The 15,319-nt window shown below is 47.6% G+C and overlaps 1 long non-coding RNA gene and 2 pseudogenes across 1 annotated transcript in view, besides 3 other annotated features; 2 read left to right on the forward strand and 1 right to left on the reverse strand.

The window, feature by feature from the left end:
• LINC00877 (long intergenic non-protein coding RNA 877) overlaps positions 1 to 15,319 on the reverse strand; it is a 64,937-nt gene that overhangs the window by 47,001 nt on the left and 2,617 nt on the right. The window lies entirely within an intron of this gene.
• On the forward strand, positions 2,590 to 2,768 carry CCDC137P2 (CCDC137 pseudogene 2; annotated as a pseudogene).
• Positions 4,341 to 5,339, forward strand: CCDC137P1 (CCDC137 pseudogene 1; annotated as a pseudogene).
• Positions 4,641 to 5,357: an enhancer, noted in NCBI's record as "H3K27ac-H3K4me1 hESC enhancer chr3:72136311-72137027 (GRCh37/hg19 assembly coordinates)". NCBI's record gives its function as "activates a minimal SCP1, AML or CMV promoter by ChIP-STARR-seq in primed H9 embryonic stem cells {active_cell/tissue: H9 hESC(primed)}" and the evidence as "EXISTENCE:reporter gene assay evidence [ECO:0000049][PMID:30033119]".
• Positions 5,358 to 6,075: an enhancer, noted in NCBI's record as "H3K4me1 hESC enhancer chr3:72137028-72137745 (GRCh37/hg19 assembly coordinates)". NCBI's record gives its function as "activates a minimal SCP1, AML or CMV promoter by ChIP-STARR-seq in naive and primed H9 embryonic stem cells {active_cell/tissue: H9 hESC(naive and primed)}" and the evidence as "EXISTENCE:reporter gene assay evidence [ECO:0000049][PMID:30033119]".
• Positions 13,286 to 13,375: an enhancer, noted in NCBI's record as "active region_20071". NCBI's record gives its function as "activates an Ori minimal core promoter by ATAC-STARR-seq in GM12878 lymphoblastoid cells {active_cell/tissue: GM12878}" and the evidence as "EXISTENCE:reporter gene assay evidence [ECO:0000049][PMID:35858748]".

Raw genomic sequence — 15,319 nt, forward strand, 5'->3', positions numbered from 1 at the left:
CCTATATTTTCACAAGCCCTCGAAGTGATCCTGACGCACCCTCACGTTTGCTGAATCCCGCCTTATGTAATGCCCTATTGTCACACTGACCTCAGAGCTATGCACACATATGCTTCCTCTTTTTGTTTCCTGCTCAGAAACTCCCCATGGTCCAGATAATAAATTACATACTCAGTTTAGTCATTCAAAGACCTTGGCAATCTCATTTTCCTAACTTATTGCTAATTAATATATTCATTGTTATGAATCTTATTTATTTATTGAGCATTTAGAATGAGCCAAACACTATGCAAGGTCCTTAATATACCTTGTGTATTAGTCAGTCCAGGTTGCCATAACAAAATACCATAGCCTGGGTGGTTTAAACAACCGGCATTTATTTTCTCACAGTTCTGGAGGCTGGAAGTCTAATATTAAGGTGCTGGCTGATTCTGGTTCCGGTGAAGGCCCTCTTCCTGGCTTGTAGACAGCTGCCTTCTTGTGGTGTCCTTGTATGGTAAAGAGAGAGAACTCTCTCTCTCTCTCTCTCTCTCTGTTTTTTCATCTTCTTATAAAGCCACCAATGCTATCATGGAGGCTCCTTTCCCTTGACCTCATCTAGCCTCAATTACCTCCCGAGAGTCTTATCTCCAAATTCGACACATTGGTGGTTAGTGCGTCAACATATAAATTTGGGGGATATGCAGTTCAGATCATAGTACGTTGATTTATGTAAACCTTCCAACAAGCTGTGAGATAAGAATCACTGAGCCCATTGGCTGTTGAGGAAACTGAAGCTTAGAGAAGCTCGGGAAGCTGCCTAAGACCAAAGTTAGTAGGGGGTGGTGCCAGAGTCTAATCCTGTGGAGGCATTCTTCCTCCCACACAGCATCACTCCCACGACCTGTTCTCTCCGTTATCCATGGCTGCCCAGGTGTCCAGACGTGCCCCTGCCTTCCCTCCTGGACACCTTGCTCAAACCACCCCTAAACCTGGATCTCCTCTCTGCGCTCCTTTGTCTAAATGTATTGAGTCCTGGAAAACAAATCCATCTTCACTGGCTTCCCTGATGAGAATCATTTTCTTTTTCTTTTCTTTCTTTCCTTCTTTTCTCCTTTTTGCAGCAAGTTTTTCATTCCTTTTTTTTCTAACATTATTCTCAGGGCTCCTCTGTCCCTCCAAATTCTCTTTGCTCACCCCAGGCAGTACACGCCTCTCTAAGTTCCTTGCTAACTTCACTTCCAGTAGCTCAAGGGAGATCCCTATGGAGCATTATTGATAACAGTGATTATTAGTGTTTCTAAATATTTTGGAAATGTCCACCACATTCTAGTAACTACAGGTTTCTGCAGACACCCAAAGTCTTTTTTGGAAGGAGCTGATGACCCAGAGTCAGCAGATTGAAACTCAAAGCAAAAGGTTTATTTGGCCAACGGTTTTCAAATCCTTTCTGTCTCTCTCTTTCTCTCCCTTTTTTTTTTCCTTGTCCTTTTTCTTGTTTTTCTGTTTGTTTGTTTTAGGGATAGCAGAATCAAATGAAGCAATGATAGAAAAAGGTAAGTTGGATGGAATAATGAGTGGTGCTCTCACTCCCAGTGGTCAGTTCTGATATCAGTATGACAACAGAGTAGTATATAAAGCAGAGGTTGGCAAACTGTAGCATGCATCACAATGACCTGGAGTGCTTGTGAAAGCACGATTGCTGCTGCACCCATTCCCTTTCAGATTGACAAGAACTGGATGGGGCCCAAGAATATGCATTTCTAGTAAGTTTCCAGGTGATGTCAATACTGCTGGTCCAGGGGCCACACTTTGAGAACCACTGACCTAAAAGGCTTCCTTACCCTTGTTGGAGATTTAGAAATAGATGAGCATATATATGTATCACTGAGATGCTTTGGCTAGGGTATGAGTAAACCCACCTGAATGTAGTTTAGGCAGTAAGGCATCAAAGGAAGTCTGGAGGTAGTATCCATGGATAGCTCAGCCAATGACTGACTTCAATAAGGATTAGCCTCTCCCCGTCTTTCTGTCCTGCCATCCTCATCATGTTGGCTTTGTTCTTGGGCTTGTCTCTTCATTATTCCAGAAAGGCTGAAGGCTGCCACTGTTCCACGTATCACATGTGAACCCAGAAACATCAGCCTGAAGAAGAGATGGGGTTTTCTTCCTTGCGGTTTTTTTTTTTTTTGAGACAGAGTCTTGCTGTGTCTCCCAGGCTAGAGTGCAATGGCATGATCTCGACTCACTGCAACCTCCACCTCCCAGGTTCAAGCAATTCTCCTGCCTCAGTCTCCCAAGTAGCTGGGATTACAGGCTTGTGCCACCATGCCCAGTTAATTTTTGTATTTTTAGTAGAGACGGGATTTCACCATTGACCAGGCCGGTCTTGAACTCGTGACCTCAAGTATTCCACCTGCCTTGGCCTCCCAAAGTGCTGGAATTACAGGCAGGAGCCACCGTGCCTGGCCCATGTATCTTTTTATTCAGGAGGAACAACTCTCCCAGAGGTGCCCAGAGGGTATTCCATTAAATCCCACTCGCTATAATAGTCATGTACCCACAGTTGCTGGCAATGGAATTACCATGATCTGGTGAGTCCAAGTGATATCCCCTTCCTGGGGCTGGGGAGGAGCCCTTTGCCCCTGTCTCCCTGGCCCACCAGCGGATTGTAGGGGAGGAGAGAGAACTGGCAGTGCAGGCTTACAGAGCATTGAAGCAGCAGCAGCTGCAGCTGCATGGGGAGCGACCCCACCTCACTTCCTGGAAGAAGCCAGAGCCACAGCTGTGATGCAGAGACCTGGGGCCTGGCCACACTCCTGGAAAACTGGCACCAGGAGCTGCCACACCTGGGTGGGGGAGAGGCAGGCAGATCCTTTTCTCTGGCCATGCTAGCAGCGTGGGGGTGAGGCCTCCAGGTACTCGTTCACACGTTGGGCATCAGCGGGTCCACGTCTTGCAAGGGTTGAGTGCCCGATGGACTAGGGCCAGGGCCTGGTTGACGGTCAGCCTGTGGGGCCTGGGGTCACTCACAGTTGTGTCTCTTTGTTCTGAACATCCATTCTGAGTCGCAGCCCAGGTACACCTTAGGAAGGGCTGGGTCCCATTACCCTGTCCCTGAACACCACTTATTAAGACAGCTGATGACCCTGGCTCGCCTTGTGATGGAGGCCCCTGGGAGTCAGCAGAGCCGAGCACATAGCACACATCAGGCAGAGCAGGCCAGAGATGGTCAACTCTTGAACTTAGCCAGCTAAAAGAAGGTGGGAAAGGTCCTTGGGGGAGGCAATTGACTGTGTCAGCCACAATCACCTACTCCTCCTTCTCTGCAGATCCCACTAGAGGAGAAAATAGACACAAGGGGGTGAGGGGAAGAAAGTATGGATCAGGGCTTCCTGGCATACTGCATCGAAGGATGCCTGCGGTGGACATCTGCAACTTTTCCTACCCAGTGTCTGCCCCCTCCTTTCTCCTAACAGCACCCAATTTTCCTCTGGGGAACCACTCCACCCCGATTTGGGTGGTCTTGGTGGGTCAAGCAAGGTGCACTGACTTCACCTGTCCTTTCCCATCACCCAAGCTTGGCCAATCTGAGTTTCTATCCTGGGGATTTCAACCTTGAGCAAAACAACACAAGAGCAGAAAACATTTGGAGAGGGCAGGTGTCCTCCCCTCTCTGGAAACAGGAAATAAGCATCCCCCACTTACAATCCTCCTCCTCCTCCTCTCCTCTTTTAGATATAGCATGTGCAGGTGCTCTGTGGGAAACTTTACATGCATGGTCTCAACTAATCCTAGCAACAATCTTACGGGTGACTACCACTACCTCCATTTTACAGATGAAAAACCAAAGCTTCAAGAACTTTAAGGATCACAGAGCTAGTAACTGGTAGATCTTAGATTTGAATTTATACCTACCAGATTACGAAGCCCTGTTTTTCTTGTTCTCCTAGAATATGAGGAGAAAATGAGCCCTCCCCAGGCAGCACTGTGAAATGGCTGAAGGTCTTTTATCTTCTCTGTCCATATACGTGGGAGTCTTAGCGCCTACACTGCTGTCTAATCTAGGCTTGTTAGAGCTGGGCAGTGTTTCACAATCCTCCCAGATAGCTGGCAGTAAGATGTAAATGACACTCATAGGAGCCCTCACGGACAGCTACTTGGAGACAGTCTGTGTGTAATATGGATAGAAAAAGCACTGCTGATAGTATCTGAACCTCTGGATCTGGCAATACCTGAAGTCCAGACTCCTGAACTTCATTTTTGCGTAAGTCAGTTTGAATTGGGTTTTATTGCTTACAACTGAAAAAGTTTTAGCCAGTGTTTCTTAATCACTTTAAAAAATGGAGGAATGTGGAAGTGGCTTCGCTAGGGAAGCTTCCAGCGTGGGGATGGCACAAGCTGGAGGTGGGGCAGCGGTGCCCAGGGCGCCGGCGGGTCCTGGGAGTCCCCGGCGGGAGCAGCAGCCGGCAGCAAGTGCAGCTGCTGGGGAAGCAGTGCCCAGCCCCGTGGTCCAGGATTCACAGCAAAGAGGAGAAAGTGAATTGCAAGCCCAAAACCCAGGACAAACAGGAGATCCCCTTCCAGCTCCGGGAGATTATGAGGAGCCGCTGGGAGATGAAAAATCCGACCGGTAACAAGAAGAGGAAGAAAGCGGCCCAGGTGGGCTTCAGAAAGACACTGGAAAAGGAAGCAAAGGGAGTGGAGCCCGACATTGCCGTCCCCAAGTTCAAGCAGAGGAAGGGGGAGTCCGACTAGGCCTTATCCAGCACATGCTATTCCTCAGCAAGAACCAGGCCACCCAGCAGCCAGAGGTCCAGGCAGCTCCCAAGGAGAAGTCTGAGCTGAAAAAAGCAAAAAAAGTGTTCCAGAAGCGACGACTAGATAAAGTCTGGCAGAAAAAGGAGGAAAAGATGGCAGACAGGCTGGAGCAGGAGTTGCTCCGAGACGCAGTGAAGTTTGGTGAGGTTGTCCTGCAGCACCCAGAGCTGACTACCAGGCCCCGGAGGAGCGTAAGCAAGGACCAGCCTGGCAGGAGATCGCAGATGCTGAGGATGCTTCTGAGCCCCCGAGGTGTATTCCAGCCTCTGACTGCCTCCCTGGCCTACCAGCGGATTGTGGGGGAGGAGAGAGAGTGGGCCATGCAGGCCTACAGATGTTGAAGCAGCAGTGGCGGCTGCATGGGGAGTGAGCCCCTCCCCACTTCCAAGAAGGAGCCAGAGCCACAGCTGTGATGGAGAGACTCGGGGCCTGGCCACGCTCCTGGGAAACTGGCACCAGGAGCTGCCACACCTGGGTGGGGGAGAGGCAGGCAGATCCTTTTCTCTGGCCATGCTAGCATTGTGGGGTGAGGCTTCCAGGTACTCGTTCACACGTTGGGCATCAGCGGGTCCACGTCTTGCAAGGGTTGAGTGCCCGATGGACTAGGGCCAAGGCCTGGTTGACGGTCGGCCTGTGGGGTCACTCACAGTTGCATCTCTTTGTTCTGAACATCCATTCTGAGTCGCAGCCCAGGTACACCTTAGGAAGGGCTGGATCCCATTACCCTGTCCCTGAACACCACCTACCAAGACCGCTCATGAGGCTGGCTCGGTGTGTGACGGAGGCCCCCTGGGAGTCAGCAGAGCTGAGTGCAGTGCACATCAGGCAGAGCAGGCTAGGGGCAGGGAAGACGCACCTGGGGCAGGGCCAGTGGGCACATCTGGACCACCTGCGAGGGCTCTGCAGGGGACCGTAACTACAGGCCAGTTGCGAGTGGTCCCCTGCAGAGGCTACCCACTCAAGGTTTGGTTGGGGTTGAATGTGATGACAGCACATACACCAAGAATGTGGGAACGGGGGCCGGGCGCGGTGGCTCACGCCTGTAATCCCAGCACTTTGGAAGGCTGAGGCGAGTGCATCACCTGAGGTCAGGAATTCCAGACCAGCCTGGCCAATATGGTGAAACCCTGCCTCTACTAAAGATACAAGGAACAAACAAACAAAAAACAGTGTTGTCACCTACATGACAGGGCTCTGAGAGAGCTGGGCAGGCCCAAAGTGGCTTGAGAAAGTAAAGGAAGGATCCTGGCCTGGGCTCAGGGTCACAGAGTGGGGCCCAGGGGGAGTTCCTGCTGAGGGCAGGGCCTTGCCAGGCTTCAGTCTTCATCCCGTGCCAAAGGAGGGAGAGCGCAGGCTGTCAGCATGTCCAGATGAGGGCAGAAGGGAGAGGCTTGAACCCAAGTCAGATCTAGCAATGGAGTCCGCCTGCCCAGCACCATTTGGGAAGTGAGGAGGCTTCTGCCCGGCCGCCCCACAGTCTGGGAAGTGAGGAGCGCCTCTGCCCAGCTTCCGCACCGCCTGGCAAGTGAGGAGCGCTTCTGCCCGGCCGCTGTGCAACCCTCCAGGTGTGAAGTGGCAGCCTTATGTGTGATCTTTCTGCCCTCCCCAAGTTTGTGTTTTCGACATTAAAGTTTACTTTTAAATTAAAAAAAAAAATCACCCCCAAGAATTTTTAGACAATTTTTTTCTTTATTGTCTGTTCCCCTCACCATGAAATTTTAGCACCGCAGATATACTCTGTATCTGTTTATGTACAGTATGTATATCTTTGCTTATACATGAAAAGAGTAATTTTCTTTTCATTCCTTCCAAGAATGAATGTTTTGCCTGGTTGGGATGGTATTGGCCCTGCTGAGATTGCATGGCCTTGACTAATGAAGATGACCCTCAATGATCTTCACCTCCTGGCATTCATGCCTTCCCACATTTAATCAGGGCTAGCCTGTGTAGATGGTATACCATGGTGGAAATGATGATTTGTGACTTTCAAAGCTAAGTCATGAAGGCTTTCTAGCTCCTGTCTTGCTCTCTGCTTGTATGGTTCAGCCTGGGGGAAGCCAACTAGCATGTATGTCATCAGGACACTTAAGCAGCCTCTGCAGGGAAACTGAGGCCTCCTGCCAATAGCCAGCACTAAGCTGCCAGCCGTGTGAGTGGGCCATCTTGGAAGTGGATCCTCCAGCCCCAGTCAAGCCTTCAGATAGATGACTGTAACCTCATGGGAAGTCCAGAGTCTGGACCTCCCAGCCAGGCTGCTGCACAGGAACTGTGAAATGTAATAAATGACTCTTGTTTTAAGCCACTAAGCTTTGCCATGATTTGTTATACAACATTAAGTAACTATTAGGTTGGTGTAAGCGCTCTTCTGCATCATATATATATGGAATGGCTGGGCACTGCCACTCATGCCTGTAATCCCAGCACTTTGGGAGGCCAGGGAAGGAGGATTGCTTGAGCCCAGGAGTTCAAGACCAGCCTGGGCAGCATAGGGAGACCAAAAAAGAAAAAAAAAAAACAAATTAAAAGAAAGAAGAAAGAAAGAAAGGAAGGAAGAAAAAAGAGAAAAGAGTACATATGGAATGTACAAGTGGGGGCTGGGTATTGTATAGGTATGGCATAACAACAAAAGGTTTAGGAAATCTGAGAGATTCTATCAACATAGTGCAAGGCATGTTACAATAAACAGTAAATAGCTTGTTTAAAAAAAAAGCTAGTGAGAGAAATACTCCACCCCCACGTGAATTCAACAAACCTTTGCCATTACGTACTCTGTGGAAGGCACTGTGTGAGATACTTAATATATTAGTGTCCTAGGGCTGCTGTGACAAAGGACCACAAACTGGGTGGCTTAGAACAACAGACATTTATTCTCTCGCAGTTCCTTCCTGGAGGCTGGAAGTCTGGAACCAGGGAGTCAGCAGGGCTGTGCTCTTTCTGAAGGCTCTAGGGGAGATCTGCTCCATGCCTTTTTCTGAGCTTCTGGTTTTGCCAGCAGATCTGGAGTTCCTTGGCTCATGCGAGCATCGTCACTGCAATCTCTGCTTCTGTGTTCTCCCTGTGTGTCTTCACATCATCTTCCTTCTGTGCCAGTCTGTGTCTGTCTCTCTTCTCTTGGATTAGGGCTCACCCTAATGACCTCATTTTAACTTGATTACATCTGCAATGACCCTATTTCTGAATAAAGTCATACAGGTACTGAAGGTTAAGACTTCAGTACCCTTTGGTGGGTACACATTTGAACCCTTAACTAGAGATAGGTGAGAGAATCAGATTCATTCTTGACCTTTTATAATACAAACCATGCTGACTAGAGACCCATGCATAACTAGCAATAACCCACATTGCAAGGGCAAGCACAATTTGGGAATGCCTCATGGGCAGAAGCGCAGTGTCACTAGCCTTCAGAGGATGTGTAGAATTTTGACAGTTGGAAGCAGGGCGGATGACATTCCAAACAGAAGCAGAGTGAGCAAAGGCAAGAAGGCCAGAAGGCAGAGGAACTCTTAAGGGCCGAGGAGCTGCTCTGCAGCTGAGCAGGAGTGAAGATTTGACAGCGAGGTTATTGCCAGGTGCAGGAGGTATTGATTGCTAGTCTAAGGAAGTTGCACTAGATTCTTGGAACAGACACTATCAGTATCTGAGGTCAGGTGAAGGTGGGGAGTACGAGTCTGGGTGAGGCTGCTCCCATTCCTCAAGGGCAAGCCTCAGGAGAAGGCTGCAGATGTGAGCCTTTACCTGCAGCAATGCAGGCAGTGGCTTGGAAATGGGGGTAGAAAAAAGACCCCGTGGGATCTGGGTGGGGCACGCCAGCCTCAGCTACACTAGGGAAAATCCAGGTGCCTAGGTCTTGGAGCAGGTGGAATGAAGGACATAGAGATTTGGAGCCAGGTCTGGGCTGAAGTTGTGTGTCAGGGATTCATCCCAATACAGAAGATGTTAACAGCTGGTAGTGGAGGAGATCACTGAGACAAAGCATGAGGAGTTCAAAGACAAGGGCAGAATGAAGATGGGAGTTGGAAGAAACTGAATTAAGGAGATCAGTGTGCCTGAACTCGTTTAATGAGGCATCTGCAGTCACTAGAAAATTACCACCAAGGGTGAAAGCTAGTGCCTTGGGGAGTTTCAATAAAACTTGTCCCCAAATCTTCAACATGCTTTAGGGGCAGGAAAAAAAATATCACACTGCTCCCACATGGCTGAGGTTCATTTTAATAGGGGGCATTTGAGAGATACAAAGTCCTTACTCAAAAAAGTGACCAGGGTTAGTTGAGAGCTTGGGCTCTGGGGTTGGATGCTTAGATTTGGATTTCAACTTTACCAATGTTTTAAGTGGGAGACTCTTACCAAGTTACTTATTGATTTGAGCCTCAATTTGTTCCTCTGTAAAAGATGAAGAATAACAGTACCTATCTAAAAGAGTTGATAAGGAGATGCACTGGGATACTACATGTAAAGTGCTTAGGACAATACTGTGCTTTTAATAAATGCTGAATAAGTAATTGTCACATTTAGTCATGTACTATGGCCAATGGGGGTGGTATCTGTGGTTGGGCTGGAACTTAGGGCATCTCTCAAGTCACCTCCACAGTGCTAAAGAGCAGGAGCTCTGGAGCCAAACTATCTGATTTCCAATCTCAGCAATGCCACCTGCTAACTCTGAGACCCTGTGCCCTGGTTTTCTTATCTGTAAAATGGGGATGTAAATGGCACCTACTAATCCTGTGGGGTTGTTATGCACATTAAAAGAACCCGTGCATGTGATATGCTCAGAATGGTGCCTGACATGTAGTGAGTGCTCAAGAAGTGCTTATCATAATGATTACTACCCCTGCTATTCCTTCTTCTAAGCTCAGGCACAACAAGGGCCAACCTCACAACGCACACAGCTCCATCCAGTAAGCTAGGATTCCCAAATGGAATGGTCACCAAAGATGTTACACCAGACAATTTGGACCTTAAGCGGAGAAGAAAATAATATATATTATTTGCTGCACGGCTCTAGCTCACATCTCTGCGTGTGGGAGCCCGCATTTATCAGATGGTCTCTAGAGAAACTCCTCACTCTGCAAGGCTCTCAGTTGGGAGTGAAGCCCTGATTTTTACAGTAACTCACATAAACTCTGGGGTCCATGTCATTCAGTCTTTAAGCAATAGCCTGTCAGAAGAAGCACAGAGACAAAGCCTTAAGTTATCTCTGAAGGAGACTGAAGAGGCTCCCGTCCACCCGACCGGCCTTCTTTCTGTGGCTGGCAGCGGCCCTGGAAACTCTGACCCCTTGCTCTTTCTCAATTCTTCATTTTCAACTTTCTACTCCAGCTTTTGCAGACATTCAGGCTTCAGGGTCCCTGTCTTTGAAACCTATTTGTCTTCCTTCCCCCTTCCCAGACCTGTCTCTCTTCTTCATCCCCCTTCCCAGACCTCCTGATGCCACAGCACGAAGTCTTGGAATGGGCTGGCTGAACTGACCCTCATTAGAGGGCCACGAGGAGGAGGAACTGAAAGGTGAAGACAAAATTCCCCTTGGACATAGGGATACATTGGGGGCGAGGGAGGTGGGAGGCCCTTACCGTGCTCTTATCTCAAACCATGCTCTCTGCCTCTCATGGGCACCAGCTACACCCATCTCCTTGCGTGGCCCACGTAGGCTGTGTGCTCTTCCAATCATCTGCCTTTACTTATACAGCTCCCTCTGCCGGAAATGTCCTCCCGCTCTTGTTACATCTCATTCTTCAAGTTTCAGCATAAACATGTCCTTTTCAGAGAAGCCTTTGCAAACCAACCTCTCCAAGTTGCCCCATTCCTCTCCCTGTTTTTCTCTCAGCATTCTCTTAGTTTGTCTTCCCTTTGTAGCATTTACTGTAACTGGTGGTTCTTTCATTTGTTTACTTTTTTTTTCTATCAGCCTCTTTAGAATCCAAGCTCCAAGTTCCATGAAAACAGAGACATTACAGAAGCATCCCCAGGGCTGGGCACTTAGTAGGGCTCTCAGTAAATAGTTATGAATAAACAAATAACGGAATGATTGTTTTACGTCTTCAACTCACGATCAGTGTGACTCTGGAACTCACTTAACCATTCTGGGCTTTATTCACGTCTAAAGGGATGGCAAAATTTGCTCTGACTTCCTCCAGAGGCGGTCATGAGGACCAGCCCCATAAGGCAACCACAAAACACCTCAAAATGCAAAAAGCTTTACTATGTAGAAGTATTAGTGAGCCTTAAAAGCTGAAAGTTTGAAAAGATGTAAACAGCACTGAATGGTGCATGTTGCTGTGTAGTAGGGTACATTTTGTTGGTGCATTCTCTTGTTTTGAGTTTTCACCCTTTTCACCCTGCCCTGACCCACAGTATTTCGGAAGGAGCACACCCAAGGGGTAGCGTGCAAGTAGGCAAATGATCTGCCACTAACTGCTGCCCCTCACCTACTGTCAGCTGCTGTCTACATGGACAGCAGCTTTCCAAGAAAAATATACATCACTCTCTACTGCTGGTCTGGCTTGTCATTATCATATTGTTCAGCTCTAGCCCCATTATACATCCCTCTGACTGCAACTAAACGGTCCACAAGGCGGAAACCTCGCCTGGCCTTCCCAGAAAACAGGCAAGGTTTTGCAGAAGGGTGGAACTCTCTGCTGCCATCTCCACCCCAAAGCAGAAGAAAAACAACCTAAGCCCCCAGCCTGTCACACTACAGCTTGGCTATTATTTAGCTGACTAAATGCCCCCTTTTCATATTTGCACCTGAAGTAACAAATCAATCTCATCTTCTTGCCAAGCGCTCTCCTGCCTTGTGATTAGCAGGCAGTGCTGAGACTGACAGAGAGGTGTGGGGGCCTGGGCTAACCCTCTTGCATCCTGTTCTAGCACCTGAAATTGATCTTGCTTCTTGCATTTCTCCTCTCCTTTCTTCCCCACTCATCTGTTTCCGACCCCACAAACTGCACTTATTTAGGGCTTGGGAAGACATGGCCATGTCCTTGATTTATTTCAAATGAGCGGAAAATCAATAATCTAGATACATCCCCTGTGTGCCTGCTTGAATGTATCTTAATTTTGTCCCATCCAGGGAGGGTAGCACTGTCTGTCTGTATGCCTGCAGCATCCACAGGAAAAAAGACTGGTGGATTACACCACTCCAGAATGTTCTGGAGCAGTACTGTCCAATAAACTTTCAGCAGTGATCAGGCTATTCTCTATCTGTACTGTCCAATATGGTAGCCACCAGCCAGTGACACGTGGCAATTGAGCAGTTGAAATGTATGTCGCTAGTGCAACTGAGGAGCTGAATTTTTAATTTAATTTAAATCTAAATAACCTCCTATGGTTAATGGCTATGGTATTGAACTATGCAGTCCTGGAGCAGGGCTTTTCAAACCTGTGTGAATAGGAATCTTGGTGTTAAAATGCAGATTCTTCTTTTTTTTTTCTTTTTTTGAGACAGAGTTTCATCCTTGTTGCCCAGGCTGGAGTGCAATGGCACAATCTCGGCTCACTGCAACCTCTGCCTCCCGGGTTCAAGCGATTCTCCTGCCTCAGCCTCCCGAGGAGCTGGGATTACAGGCATGCACCACCACGCCCGATTTATTTTCTGTTTTTAGTAGAGACGGAGTTTCTCCATGTTGGTCAGGCTGGTCTTGAGCTCCCAACCTCAGGTGATCCGTCCACCTCGGAATCCACACAAGTTTGAAAAGCCCTGCTCCAGAACTTCACGGTCGAATACCATAGCCACTAACCACATGAGGTTATATAAAAAGGAATGAGATCATGTCCTTTGCAGGGACATGGATGAAGCTAGAAGCCATCATCCTCAGCAGACTAACACAGGAAGAGAAAACCAAACACTGCATATTCTCACTCATAAGTGGGAGTTGAACATTGAGAACACATGGACACAGAGAGGGAAATAGCACACACTAGGGCCTGTTGAGGGGTGGAGGGTGAGGGGAGGGAACTTAGAGGACAGGTCAACAGGTGCAGCAAACCACCATGGCACACATATACCTGTGAAACAACCTGCATGTTCTGCACATGTATCCCCCCCCCCCCTTTTTTTTTTAGAAGAAATAAAATAAAAAACAAAACAAACAAAAAAAATAAAACGCAGATTCTGAAACAGTAGATCTGGGAAAGGGCCTGAGATTCTGCATTTTTAACAAGCTTCTCAAGGATGTTGATGCTACCAATCCCTGCTCCAGCCTTTGAGTAGCTGGGGACTGGACTGTTGGTTCTCAAACTTGATTGCACACTGGGCTTCCCCGGGGAGCTTTAAAAAATACTGATGCTTGGGTCCCGCCTGAGTGACTCTGATGTAATTGGTGAGGGTGCAGCCTGGGCATCTGGATTTTTTTAAAAGTCCCAAGAGGATTCTAGTCAGCAGCCTTGGCCACTCACACTGCATTGCAAATGACCTAGTTAATGCTTTTTAAAATAACCCGTCATTGCAGAGAACAGAGCACTAGCTTTATACTAATCTCTGAAGGGATCTTATTGGTTCATGGCCAAACCTTCAGGGAGTTTAGACTGATTTTGCCCATCCTGACTAGAATGGAAGCAAGCTTTTTAAGGTCGATCCAATCAGAGCATGTGCAGCTCTGGAGATGGGGTGGGGTGGGGAGTTGGGAGGTCTGTAAGAATCATCCCAGGAGATATCCAGCCTATATCTGCCAGCTCTATCCTATCCCCAACCTGGGATTCTATGTCACTACAAAGCCGTACCTGTGCCAACCCCTCCTAGTCCTTCTACCAGAGACTAAAAGCCACACGGATTTCAGACCTTAGGCTTCTGGATCAAAGTTCCTGCATTTGAACTCTAATTCTGCTGCTCATTAGGTTTGTAACTTGTACAAGTTACCTATACTATCTGGGCCTTGATTCTCTCATCTGTAAAATGGGAATACGTATAGTACCTTTCTCCCAGACTTGTGTGAAGGTTGGCCTAGTTCCCAGCACTGTGTGACAGTTCTAAGTGTCATCTTTGTCATTAATCCCTCCCCACATATCTTTTCCATCCTCTGTGCTCGAATCCCACTGAACTTCTAGTTGTTGTTTTTTTTTTTTCTTTTTTTTTGAGATGGAGTCTCGCTCTGTTGCCCAGGCTGGAGTGCAGTGGCGTGATCTCAGCTCACTGCAAGCTCCACCTCCTGGGTTCAGGCTATTCTCCTGCCTCAGCCTCCCAAGTAGCTGGAACTACAGGTGCCTGCCATCACTCCTGGCTAATTTTTTTTGTATTTTTAGTAGAGACAGGGTTTCACTCTATTAGCCAGGATGGTCTTGATCTCTTGACCTCGTGATCTGCCTGCCTCAGCCTCCCAAAGTGCTGGGATTACAGGTGTGAGCCACCACACCCGGCCTCCTTTTAGTTTCTTAATTAAGCCCACCATGCTCCTGTTCACCCAGCACCCTGGCATATGCTGGTGTTTCCTGCACGATTTCCCTCTCCTTTAGGCTTACTTGATGCCTCCCAACTTTCCTTAGATCAGCCCAACTATCACTTCCCTTGGAAACTCTCTTTTCTCTAATCCTTCTCAGCCCACGCTTATTACCACTTAGTGTGGTCAATGTTTAATCATTCAATACACATTGTTTGAGCACCTACTATATCCCATGCATTGTTTTCTACTCTGGGAATTTTGTTCTCTGCAGAGAACAATAAAAGATTTTATGAAAAGAAAAATCTGTATTCTTATGAAGCTTACATTCTGGGAGGGATGGTCCATAAACAGAGAAGTATGCTAGAGAGAAAAAAAGAGCAGGAATGTTGACAGAGTGAGTGGCCAAGAAGGCCACAAGTGAAGAGGGATGATTGTGAAAAGGCCTAGAGGAAGTATGGAGGAAGCCAGGCAGACACCTTGCAGGGACAAGCATTCCAGGCAGAGGGAACAGCAAGTGCAAAGGCAAAATTGCAACATCACATTTTGTGTAATCATTGGATTAATCTTTAATGCATCAACACAGATCACAAACTCTATGGCAGAGGGCAGGAATCATACTTTTTTGTTCTTAGCACCCAGCTCCTTGGCATGTAGTTAGGCACTAAATATATGTGGAATGAATCCACTCACTGGGCATTCTGGAATTTCTAGAGAATGTATGCTGGGGATGGGGGTGGGGAGTGGTTTGTATTCACTCAAGAATCTTTCATCAGTATCAATACCTGTCACCTGTTGAAAATAACTGTGTCAGGAGAAAAATCTCTTGAAATGGAATACTATTCTTTTCTTTTTCAAATTTCCTTTAAATGATCTCCCTTCTACCCAGCCAGAGGGATCCATCACACTGGAGAGGATTAGGACTGTGTGGCAGGAATGCAGAGAGGAAGAAAGAGCTGATGTTCAGATTTCAACTCCTGAAATAGGCACTCGAAGCCCATTTCCGAGAATTCAATAGGCATGAAAGGCAGTGCTTCTGATGTACAAAACTGGTGTTTGTGAAAGGAAAACATTTAATAGCTTTATAGAAATGGGTTTTTTCTTCCTCCATATGAAAAGGTAAGGCTGTGAAAGAGGAGGACACACATGTA

The sequence above is a fragment of the Homo sapiens genome, chromosome 3 (genome assembly GCF_000001405.40).
Source record: "Homo sapiens chromosome 3, GRCh38.p14 Primary Assembly".
Lineage (NCBI taxonomy): Eukaryota > Metazoa > Chordata > Mammalia > Primates > Hominidae > Homo > Homo sapiens.